Genomic DNA, 13,252 nt, shown 5'->3' on the forward strand with positions numbered 1-13,252 from the left:
ATCGTTTTCAGCCACTCTTTCTTTCTCTGTAGAAAGGTGTGGGTTGTGGGGCCAGGCACGGTGGCTCACACCTGTAATCCCAGCACTTTGGGAGGCCAAGGCGGGTGGATCACAAAGTCAGGAGTTCGAGACCAGCCTGACCAATATGATGAAACCCTGTCTCTACTAAAAATACAAAAATAAGCCAGGTGTGGTGACGTGTGCCTGTAGTCCCAGCTACTCGGGAGACTGAGGCAGGAGAATCGCTTGAACCCGGGAGGCGGAGGTTGCAGTGAGCTGAGATCGTGCCACTGCACTCCAGCCTGGGTGACAGAGTAAGACTCTGTCTCAAAAGAAACAAAAAACAAAAAACAGAAAGGTGTGGGTTGTGATGAGTAGTATAAAGGTATCTGAAGTCCCTTCCAATTCTAAAAGCATATGTTTATGTTTAGCATTACCTTACCTGGTAATATGTAGGTATATTTAGATAAATGTATGTGACTATTCTATGTGAAAGGTAAATTTCTAATTGCATAGATGCAACTGACGGAATCATGATTATTGACTAAACAAGCTTAATTGTGCTTGACCCACCGATTAGCACTAAAGAGCAATAACCCACATGAAAAAGGTCTCTGTGATTTTCCTTAGGTGAGATAATTTGGTTTCCTGCCTCTCCACTACCTTCTCCCATTCTGACTGGATGAGCCAGGGAAAATCCCTTTTGTATGGAAGGAGCAAACTGCTGTGAAAAGTTGAATCAGAAGGAAACTGTGGATTGGACATTCATTGTTTGACCTCTTGCCTGGCAGAGGGGCAACAGCAGGTACATCTGAAAGGTCTCTGTATGGTCATGACTTTTCAGCCCATGCATTCAGTGATCTGGAGGATGAAGGGCCTTAATGTCCAATACACATTCCTGGTAAAGATATGTGTGTCTTCAGTTATGATGAAAACCATCTGGTCTGAGTTGTTTTTAACATCATTTCTATTATTAGTTTCAAAATGTGTCATCACTAGAAAATAAAATGAGAAAGTCATCTTTAAATTATTAGCTGTTAAGTCTGCCCTCAAGAGGTCATCATCAATCATTTCACAGGGTGTAAGGCCAAATAGCCTTTTAAAAATTTCATTTGAAACATAAACAACTGATGGGAACACCAAACTATTTCATCACCTTATAAGTATTAATATGCTTTAGAATTTAAAGTGTCTATTTTAAATTCAGTGCAAGATGATTTAAGAGTTTTCCATGTAAAAGATAAAAGTCATCTTGTATAAGGATGATTATGTCTTATATATTAACTGCATTCAGAGACTTTAATTATAAAATATTTTAATTATTTTATACATTAGAGCATAAATTATCCAGCTCAGTAAGATGATCAGGGTCACTACTAATTGCAAATAGCTCAGTAAGATGATCAGGGTCACTACTAATTGCAAATAGAAAAAGTAACCAAGAGGAGTTGAAGACCTTATGTTGCTAAATGAATGTGTAAAGCTGCTGCTTTAAGAATCAGCCACACTCTATTGATGAACAGATGTTAGGCTTCATGTTTACTGTGCTCATTTCTTCCTGCCTCTAAAACAAAGGCACCGCACTACACTTTAGCAAATCTAAATTCTGCTTGACCCTCACTAAGTCATTTCATTCCTCTGCTCTTTCTTTTCCGCATCTGTGAAAGTTAAATGATGGGTGGATAGAAGGTGTAAGTGTAAGGGGGCATTGACCAGATAATATATAAGATCCTTTTTAATCTAAGAGCTAATGATTATATAATTTGTAAATAAATCAAATTACACAAAATAATTCTCTTTTAATTTCTGGAGAACAGTGTTTTCTGTTTGAACCACTGAAAAAATGATTGCTGTAAAAAAAGTAACTGCCTGTTTAATAATGTCAATTTCCACCTGATTCAAATACTGCTGAACACTACTAAATTATATATACTTTCCAGGAGCTCCAAATGCTGAAAAACATGCATGTTGTCCAACTATTGAGAGAGACAGAAATAAGAGAATTAAGTTAGCATTAAGAAAGAAATTGATGATAGATATATCACAATGAATCAACTGAGTTCCAAAACAGTTTTTGAGTATGAATGAAATTAATTTAAAAATATGTGTTATCACCTGAAATTAGCCTATTTTCACCTGGTCATATAGACATTAAAAGGACTGTTCAAATAGGAAAAATAATTTTCTCCAGTTCCACTGTATAAGACTGTTTTATCTAAAATATCTGAAAAACATTAACTTGCTAAAGCAACAACATCTAGAAGTAGCTGTGTATACCTAGATTGTTTCTTGCTCAGTTACTACTCACTGGTCTCTCTGACATATCACCTGCCATTTGGATTTGATCAGGAAGTTCAGGATGGTTTTACATGGACCACCTATACAGAATGCAATTTTTTTCAATGGCTTAGGGAGAGTAAGTTAGCCAAGGTGAATCTCAAAGTGTGACCAATTTTAAATTATTTCATGGGTACCTCTGAGAGAATAATGTATTGACTTCCATTCACTTGAGTTAAAAGTGGCAGTTTTCCCTAGGTGCATGGATTAATAAGGAGAGGGTCGAAGATGGCAGAAGCATGTGAATGAAACTGGCACAAAGGAGAGAACACATTCTGTGGTAGGATTACATGAAAAATGAGTTTGGGAAAAACATTAGGTAAACTTTTAATCTTGGTTTTACTTAGGAATCACTCACAAGATGAAAGTCTGATGGGCAGTCTGATCACACTTTTGTGGAGTAGCTGTGCCCTGCGGGGGTACCGCTTCCATCCTCAGGTGGTTTGGACTCTTGTAAGCCTACAGACTGGAACAGCGTTGTCTAAACAGCAAAGATGGTTGGCCATCCCTCCCTTCAGGTGCTCCATCCAAGGCAGAAATCAAAACTGTCTGGTGGAGAATGTGGGTGGGGGTAGCTGGAGGCCCCAGTTGGAAAGTCCCACCCAGAGATAAGGAGCAGATCATGAACTCACTTAAAGAAGAAGTCTGACAGCATTTTGGTAGAGCAGCTGTGCATTGCTGGGGGCTCCCTTCTGCCTCAGACAGTTTATACTCTCCTAAGCCCACTTCCTGGAACAGCTGAGTTGTCCAAACTGCTTCTCCCCTTGGGCACTCCATCCAAGGGAGAAATTAAAACTCTGTCTGCCAGAGAATATGGGTAGGGCTTGCTGGAGGCCCCTGTTGGGAAGCATTGCCCTGAGATGAGGAATAGATCAGGGTCCCACTTGAAGCAGTCTGGCTATATTTTGGTAGAGCAGCTATGCTGTGCTAGGAGAGGTCCCTTCCATCCCTGGTTGGTTTGGTTTGGAGTCTCCTAAACCCCCAGGCTGGAATGGCTGAGTTGTCCAAACAGCAAAGATGGCAGCCTGCCCCTCTTTCTGGGAACACTGTCTCATCCCAAGTAGGTGCAACACTGTTTCTGGGGGCTGGCTGGAATTCCAAGTCAGTGGGATTTGTCCTGCGAGGCACTGTGGAAGTGGGGCCCATAGGCCTGCACTGCTTGGCTTCCTGAATTCAGCTATTTTTCCCTAGGGGTGTGTAGGAACATCCAACTTCCCTCCTTGACTGAGTTGCAGTCACCTTTGCCAGGTTTCCTGGAGCCAGAATATGTAGAGCTCCTGGAATTCTGCGTGTGCCTGAGCAGCTGCTCTGCTAAGACTTCACACAGCCATGTGTGTCAGACCAAAGGCCCTGGTGGAGTGGGTTCAGGAAGAGACCTCCTGACCCAAGGGTTGCAAAGATCCATGGGAGAAGCATGGTTTCCCAAGGTCACATATCCACTCCCTGGGGTGGAGAGAGGTTCCCTTGGCTTCGTGTTGCTTCTGGGCAGGCTGTCACTCTTCCCTGCTTTTCTCCATTCTCCATGGCTCCAGCTGTTTCCCTGATCAGTCTCAATGCAAATGCATGCCTGGATATTTCAGTTGAAGGTGTTGTATTTACTCGCCCCTTTCATTCCTGTCTGTGAGAGCCACACTGGAGCTGCTTCTATTTGGCCATCTTGGCCCCACCCCTTTCTGTTATTTTATAAAGAGATCAGTTTAATAAAATTTTTGGCTCAAGAAAATTCCAAATTTCTAATCCAATTCACACATCAACTCTATAGCATTGCACCAATAGTTTTCAATGCACAGGATTAGTAACATGTGGAATTGCAAAGAGGACCTTGTGAACTCCAAGAAATACTTGATTATGTGGGGAGGCAAATATTGAATTAAAGAGTTCCTTACATGTTGCGGGAAGTCAGGGACCCCAAACAGAGGGACTGGCTGAAGCCATGGCAGAAGAACGTGGATTGTGAAGATTTTATGGACATTTATTAGTTCCCCAAATTAATACTTTTATAATTTCTTATGCCTGTCTTTACTGCAATCCCTAAACATAAATTGTAAAGATTTCATGGACACTTATCACTTCCCCAATCAATACCCTTGTGATTTCCTATGCCTGTCTTTACTTTAATCTCTTAATCCTGTCAGCCGAGGATGATGTATGTCGCCTTAGGACCCTGTAATAATTGCATTAACTGCACAAATTGTACAGCATGTGTGTTTGAGCAATATGAAATGTGGGCACCTTGAAAAAAGAACAAGATAACAGCAATGTTTAGGAAACAAGAGAGATAACCTTAAACTCTGACTGCCAGTGAGCCGGGCAGAACAGAGCCATATTTCTCTTCTTTCAAAAGCAAATGGGAGAAATATCGCTGAATTCTTTTTCTCAGCATGGAACATCCTTGAGGAAGAGAATACGTGCCTGGAGGTATAGGCTTATAAACAGCCCCCCTAGGTGCGCCTGTCTCTTATGGTCGAGGCTGCAGAGATGAAATAGACTCCAGTCTCCCATAGCGCTCCCAGGCTTATTAGGAAGAGGAAATTCCCACCTAATAAATTTTGGTCAGACCAGTTGATCTCAAAACCCTGTCTCCTGATAAGATGTTATCAATGACAATGGTGCCCGAAAGTTCATTAGCAATTTTAATTTCACCTTGGTCCTGTGGTCTTGTGATCTCGCCCTGCCTCCACTTGCCTTGTGATATTCTATTACCCTGTTAAGTACTTGATGTCTGTCACCCACACCTATTCGCACACTCCCTCCCCTTTTTGAAAATCTCTAATAAAAACTTGCTGGTTTTTGTGGCTTGTGGGGCATCACGGATCCTACCAACGTGTGATGTCTCCCCTGGATGCCCAGCTTTAAAATTTCTCTCTTTTATACTCTGTCCCTTTATTTCTCAAGCTGGCCGATGCTTAGGAAAAATAGAAAAAAACCTACGTGATTATCAGGGCAGGTTCCCCGATACTTACATATAAAGAATTTAAATGTCTCCTCTTTCTTAAGCCGAAAGGGTCAAGGGTTACAGAATAGTTTTTAATACTACCTTTAATTTATTTATTTATACCATTTTGTTTACCAAATATTCCTATTCCTCAAGTTTCTGACCTGAGTGTCAGGGTGGCTCCATAATGTTTATAGAGAAGAGCATTAGGGTATCACCACTTAAGAAGGGACCTCAAGGACTTGGCTTGCTGCTATATGTACTTGGTTAGCACCCTGTTTTTACATGGAAAATAGATATTGGTGGGGGGAGGTCTGGAATAGCTGATGAAAATTATAGGTGGTGAAGGAAATCAAAGGGCCAAGGCACTTAAGTGATTTAGCCACTAATTTTTCTGTTCCTTTCATATGTCTTTTTTGGATGGTCGCTTTTATTCCAAGTAAATGAAACACAAGCTAGCGTCTAAGACATTTTTTTTTCTATTCCTGTTTCTATTTTTCTACCTTTTTTTAAGAGGACATCCTGAATATCTTAATGGTAAACCTGAATCATATAAACTCCATACTCATCCCACTAAAAACATCTCTATACTTTTTGCTTCCCCTTTACATTTCTGAAGTTAGTACCACCATTCTTACAGTCTTAGAAACTAGACATGTTAACATTGTCCCATCTCCTTTATTCACTCTGTCCTATATTTTCTCGCTCCTTATTGGATCACTATGGTCATATTTCATAGAAAAATAACTTGGATTTGTATGGCCTAAGTATTCCAGACCAGGAGGACAGTTTGCCAAAGCATGGAGAACCTGAGCTAAATATTCTAGACCAGGAGAGCAGTTTGCCAAAGGAGTTGGCTTTGGCTTCCATGTTATTGGAACAGGCTGATTTGGCATAGGATATTTACCAGGCTGATACTGGATAGGATGGGATAGTTGGCTGATACAAGGGGAAGGTACTGGGCTGCTGTGGAAGCCTCCAGATGGAGGGATGGCTGACAAATGAAATAATTGAAACAATGACATAATTATGTATATTTAAAGTTATAATATTTTAGGACATGGGATGAATTTTTATTTGTAGATGACATGGGTCACATGACAGCTTTTTAGATATAACAAAAGTCTCCACTTTCTGAGGACATGGCATTTCATATATCAAAAGCCTACTAGGGAGATTTCCAGATCATGGAGAAATATAATCCTCTTAAACCATATGAAATTAGGTATACCAATTTCACAAGTACAAACACTAAGATTGAGGAGATTGTCAATATCTCTTCACAACTATCTCATCAGGCTGTTGCAGAGTCAGCACAGGGCATGGCATAAAATCAGCACTATGCAAATTTCTATTATGTTCATTATTATTATTATTCAAGTTCACATAGATAGAAGGTGATAACGCTGGGATTTGAAATTAGGTCTTAATCTCAAAGTGGTGATTTTAAGCCTGTTATATTGCCTCTGATTCAGTCACTTGTTTATATGAACATCATCTGGTTCTCAGACAGCTCACCTCCAACATGGCATCAGTTAACTATTAACTTTGTCAATATAAATAAGATCACAGTCAAGGAAATCAGATTTTGTTAAGAAAACATAACATTTTAAGATAAGCACTCATAATCATAAATTCATATGAATATACCACTAATGTATGACTTTAGTTGTTATTCTTTTATCAAATGTCTCTTAAAAAGAGCAGTGATATCATTTTTCTCTCATCCCTTTCCCTCCCCCAGCCAAGATGGTGGCAGTAGAGGACCAGTAGGGAGCCTGAACTCCAGCCAAGCAGTAACAATGAGCACTTCCTCATCCCCATTCCTGTGAAAATAGGCTTCCTAGTAAGGTGGCAGGGTCTCTTTCTAGCCACTGGAAAAGCAAGGATAACTTTATTTCACAATAATTGCTAAAATTTTAGAGAAATAGTGTACATTATCTCATTTCCAGTTACTTTTCATTCATTCTTTCATTAATTCAATAAATATTTACTGAGTATCTTATTATATACTAGGCACTATTATAGATGATGAGAATATACCAATAAGCCAGACAGATAAAGTGCCACTCTGCTGGAGATTACATGGGGTGAGATTTTAAAAATGTCAACAAGGCCGGGTGCAGTGGCTCACGCCTGTAATCCCAGCACTTTGGGAGGCCGAGGTGGGTGGATCACGAGGGCAGGAGATTGAGACCATCCTGGCGAACATGGTGAAACCCCGTCTCTACTAAAAATACAAAAAATTAGACAGGCGTGGTGGTGGGCACCTGTAGTCCCAGCTACTCGGGAGGCTGAGCCAGAAGAATGGCGTGAACCTGGGAGATGGAGCTTGCAGTGAGCCGAGATTGCGCCACTGCACTCCAGCCTGGGTGACAGAGCAAGACTCTGTCTCAAAAAAAAAAAAAAAAAAAAGTCAACAAATATTTATGTTTAGATGGTAGTTATGAGGAAAACAAAGTCACAGGTTTAAGAGAAACATGGATGGTTAGTTTTAAGAGAGTCGGGAAAAGCCACTCTTAGGAGGTGCCCTTTGAGCTATTTGAACTATGAAAAGGAAACATCACACTAAAATTGTGGGAAGAGAGTTCCAGGAAGATAGGAGATTAGTGCAAAGGATCAGAGGTGGCAGTGAGCTTGGGATACTCAAGGGAGAGAAAGAAAAAGCAGTTAGAAGTGACTGGGCCACAGTGAGAGAAAGGAACTGAAGTAAGACATGGAGACAGAGAGGTCTGATCTCATCTGAAGGCCATGTCAAGGTGGTTGGCATTTTTGGTATTTGGAACTGGGAAGTGTGGAGGATTCAGTCAGTGGAGTGATCAGATCTGACCGACACCATACAATGAGAGCAAGAGTAGAAGCAGGGAGCAGTGACGGATGGCAGCAGCAATCCAGGTGAGAGCTGATGCAGGCTTAGATGGGGGAGGTGACACTGCAGAGGGTTAGGAGTGGTCAGAGGCATGACACTGTTTGGAAGCAGGGCCTCGAGGAGTTGCTGATGGACTAAAGAAAAGAGAGGAGTCAAAGAGGGTTCTGAGTCATAGCCCAAGGTAACTGAGTTGATGGTGACGCTATTAACAAAACTAGAGAGGAAAATAGTAGGGGAAACGGTGGGGATTGAAAAGTTTAGACTGGGGCATGTTATGTTTAATGAGAGGCCAAAAGAAGATAAGTTAAACATTTAAATAAAAAGTATGTATCTGCAACATTATGGGAATAACTGAAGGGTAAAAACTAGAAGTTGACATGAGTTTTGAAAGAAGCAGCGGGGGCAGATGTAGTGGATTCCATTAGGCCGAATATATTCACATAGACACATACACACACACACACACACTTATATACATAGATGTATATACACAGACATATAAACACATACATATATATGCACACGTATATATAGAAAATATATGTTATCTTCAAAGAATGAAATTTCAATATTTCAGAATTTTCATATTTCCAAGTTCTAGGTGATGACGAAGAGGAACAATGTCAACTAAGGCTATAATTTACTGACTGTTTATCAAGGGTCAGGCACTCAGCCAAGCAGTTTGCCTACATTGTCTCTAATTATAACATGTCTCCAAGATACATATCATTTGCCCAATTTTATAGATGAGATAATGAGCTCAGAGAAATAGAAATTTAACTGTATAGCTTAGTAAATGATTAAGCCCACTAAAGTCAAGTACCTTTGAATCCAAACTCCAAGTTCTTTTTTGTAAATTTTTAAAATTAAAAAAAAATTTTTTGTGAGTATATAGTAGTTGTATATATTTATGGGGCACATGAGATGTTTTGATACTGGCATGCCATGTGAAATAAACATATCATGTAGAATGGGGTATCCATCCCCACAAGCATTTATCCTTTGAGTTACAAACAATCCAATTACATTCTTTAAGTTATTTTAATATATACAGTTTAATTATTATTGACTATAGTCACCATATTCTTTCTACTATGTTATCCTGTTTATCAGTGTTTAGATTGTGTTCATTTGTGTAGCTCAAGTGAGATGGAAAGCTGCTGAGGTAGAGTAGGTCAAGGAAGCATTAGAACAGCATATTGATACTGATTTGACTTAAGAAACTCACCAAGTCATAAGCCAATATGTAGATTTTCAGCCCAACTGTGTGTCTTGCTATGTATGGGAGAAAGAGGCCAATTAGGCTTGAACTATTTCCACTCTCTCACTGGTGCCTGAGTTAGTTGTATAGTATCAAGAGGTATAAAAGTATTCTGGGACACATCAAAAAGCATGTCTCAATTATTGGACAGCCAAAGTAGTTCAAGTATTGGTCTTACCCCTCAATGATAAAAATCTCTGGCATTTTGGAAAACAACAAATATTTATGGAAACTTCAACTCTGGTCATTCCTAGGTATATACCCTTGAACGATTTACACATGTACACAAACGATATGTATGAGAATATTCTCAACACCATTGTTCATATGAAGAGAAACTGAAAACATTTATAATGTCCATCAACAGCAGACTTGATGTGGTATAATCATACAATAGCACACTAGTGAAAACAAAAATATAGCCTCATGCATTCATGAATAAAACTCAAAAATGTAATAGTGAGATACAGAAGCAAGTCACTGGAGAAGATAGTATTTTATTTTAAAATATTTACGAACAGAAAAACTAAATAATGTTTTTTTTCAGATGCATGTATGAAGTTAAAACTTAAAAAGAAAGCTAGGGAATGAAGAGAAACACAAAAACACAATGGTTATCTTTGGAGAGGAGTGACGAGGAACAAGAGACTAACTTTCTGCTAATAGTCTTAAGTAATAGAGATGATAGGTCATTATTCTTTAAATGAAATGTGTGTTTATGAATTTTTAGATATATGACATTAGTTCACATATAAAAGAACCATTTGACAGCAAGTAGATTGGTGGTTGGGGAGATGAAGAATGTGGGGAGATTTTGGTCAAAGGATACAAACTTTGAGTTATAAAATAGATCCTGGAGATCTAACATTTAGCAAAGTGACTGTACTTGATAATAATTCATTGTATACTTGAAATTTGCTGAGAACAAATAAGTATTTTCACCACATACATACACACACCATGGTAACTCAGTGAGACAATGGATATGTTAATTAGCTTGATTGTGGTAATCATTTCACAATATTTATTTATATCAAAAGATTACATCATATACCTTAAACATATATAATTTTTGTCAATACACCTAAGTAAAGCTGAAAAAATAAATAATAATAGAATGCATTTAAGAAAAAGGTTACACTAAATATGTAACTGTCAAACTTAGATATTTAGATATCAGAATTTGGAAAGGTAATAAATTCAGGCTTTGGAACTCTAATGGAACAAGGAAATTAAAACATATCAAATTACTTTTCTATTATAATGTCATTCAGCAGATATTTTAAATATCTTCTATGAGCCATATATTTAGATTTATTGGATGTCAAAATCAAGATGAGTAGTCAAATAATGTCTCTTTTGAAAGCACAAAACTTTTAAAAAAAGTTTTTTCAATCTCTGAAAAAAATGAAATAATAAAAACTTACCCAGAAGTATATAGTCTGTTTTACATCTGTGAAGATCTGCGTAATGGAGACCCTGAGTTGGGTATAGGTGATAGACACTCCCCTTGTATTAGTCCATTCATGCATTGCTATAATGAAATACCTGAGACTGGGTAATTTATAAATACAAGTGTTTTAATTGGCTCAACGTTTTGCAGACTGTACAGGAAGCATGAGTTTGGTATCTGCTCAGCTTCTGGGGAGGCCTCAGGAAACTTACAATCATAGCAGAAGGTGAAGGGGAAGCAGGCATGTTACATGGCCAGTGTAGGAATGAGAGAGTGAGGGGGGTGGTGCTACACACTTTTAAACAACCAGATCTCATTAAAACTCACTCACTATCACAAGAATAGTACCAAGGAGGAGGGTGGTAAACCATTCATGAGAAATCCATCCCCCTGATCTAGTCACTCCCCACAAGCCCACCTACAACACTGGGGATTATGTTTCAATATGAGATCTGGATGGGGAGACACATTCAAACTATATCAGCTCTTGTGACTCTAATGATGCAATAATTACTGCTCGTCTCCCCTCTAGCCACCACTTGCTCCCATTGCACCTCAATATTCCTCAGTATTCACTCTCACTATCAGTTCCCAGCTTCAAATCTCTTCCATAGTAATACTTTACTATCCACCTACTGAGAGCTGCTGGAATTGGATGAATACGCCATATTTAAAAACAGATAAAAAATAGTTGTCCCATGAAAGGAAAAGTGAAAGAACTGTGGTTACTATTACTTTCAGGCCTCTGAGCCCAAGCTAAGCCATCATATCCCCTGTGACCTGCACATACACATCCAGATGGCTGGTTCCTGCCTTAGCTGATGACATTCCACCACAGAAGAAGTGAAAATGGCCTGTTCCTGCCTTAACTGATGACATTATCTTGTGAAATTCCTTCTCCTGGCTCATCCTGGCTCAAAAGCTCCCCTACTGAGCACCTTGTGACCCCCACTCCTGCCCATCAGAGAACAACCCCTTTGACTGTAATTTTCCTTTACCTATCCAAATCCTATAAAACGGCCCCACCCCTATATCTCCCTTTTCTGACTCTCTTTTCAGACTCAGTCCGCCTGCACCCAGGTGAAATAAACAGCCTTGTTGCTCAAACAAAGCCTGTTTGGTGGTCTCTTCACATGGATGCACATGAAATTTGGTGCCGTGTCTCGGATCGGGGGACATCCCTTGGGAGATCAATCCCCTGTCCTCCTGCTTTTTGCTCCGTGAGAAAGATCCACCTACAACCTCAGGTCCTCAGACCGACCAGTCCAAGGAACATCTCACCAACTTCAAATCCAGTAAGTGGCCTCTTTTTACTCTCTTTTCCAACCTCTCTCACTATCCCTCAACCTCTTTCTCCTTTCAACTGCCACACTTCAATCTCTCCCTTCTCTTAATTTCAATTCCTTTCATTTTCTCGTAGAGACAAAGGAGACACATTTTATCCGTGGACCCAAAACTCCGGCACCAGTCATGTACTCAGAAGACAGCCTTCCCTTAGTGTTTAATCATTGTGGGGATGCCTCTCTGATTATTCACCCACATTCCATTGGTGTCTGATCTCCGCAGGGATGCCTGACTTGATCTTTCACCCATGTTCCCTTGGTGGCAAGTCAATTGCGGGGACACCTGCTTTGGCTGCTCACCCACGTTGCAGCCCAGGGCTGCTCCCCACCCCCTTCTCCATGTCTCTACCCTCTTCTTTAAACTTGCCTCCTTCACTATGGGCAACCTTCCACCCTCCATTCCTCCTTCTTCTCCCTTAACCTGTGTTCTTAAAAACCTAAAACCTCTTCAACTCACACCTGACCTAAAACCTAAATGCCTTATTTTCTTTTGCAATCCTGCCTGACCCCAGTACAAACTCAACAGTGGTTCCAAATAGCCATAAAATGGCACTTTCAATTTTTCCATCCTACAAGATCTAAATAATTCTTGTCGTAAAATGGGCAAACGGTCTGAGGTGCCTGATGTCCAGGCATTCTTTACACATTGGTCCCTCCTTAGTCTCTGTGCCCAGTGCAACTCCTCCCAAATCTTCCTTCTTTCCCTCCCACCTGTCCCCTCAGCCCCAACCCCAAGCGTTGCTGAGTCTTTCTAATCTTCCTTTTCTACAGACCCATCTGACCTCTCCCCTCCTCACCAGGCCAAGCTAGGTGCCAATTCTTCCTCAGCCTCCCCTCTTCCACCCTATAATTCTTTTATCACCTCCCTTCCTCACACCCAGTCCACCTTACAGTTTTGTTCTGTGACTAGCCCTCCCCCACCTGCCCAGCAATTTACTCTTAAAAAGGTGGCTGGAGCTAAAGGCATAGTCAAGGTTAATGCTCCTTTTTCTTTATCCCAAAACAGCGTTTAGACTCTTTTTCATCAAATGTAAAAACCCAGCCCAGTTCATGG

The 13,252-nt window shown here is 40.0% G+C and overlaps 1 pseudogene, besides 1 other annotated feature; it reads right to left on the minus strand.

Moving 5' to 3' along the window:
• PLSCR4P1 (PLSCR4 pseudogene 1) lies at positions 759-6,253 on the minus strand (annotated as a pseudogene).
• Positions 4,519-5,273: an enhancer, noted in NCBI's record as "OCT4-NANOG hESC enhancer chr3:146064530-146065284 (GRCh37/hg19 assembly coordinates)". NCBI's record gives its function as "activates a minimal SCP1, AML or CMV promoter by ChIP-STARR-seq in naive H9 embryonic stem cells {active_cell/tissue: H9 hESC(naive)}" and the evidence as "EXISTENCE:reporter gene assay evidence [ECO:0000049][PMID:30033119]".

The sequence above is a fragment of the Homo sapiens genome, chromosome 3, assembly GCF_000001405.40.
Source record: "Homo sapiens chromosome 3, GRCh38.p14 Primary Assembly".
NCBI classification, from domain to species: Eukaryota; Metazoa; Chordata; class Mammalia; order Primates; family Hominidae; genus Homo; species Homo sapiens.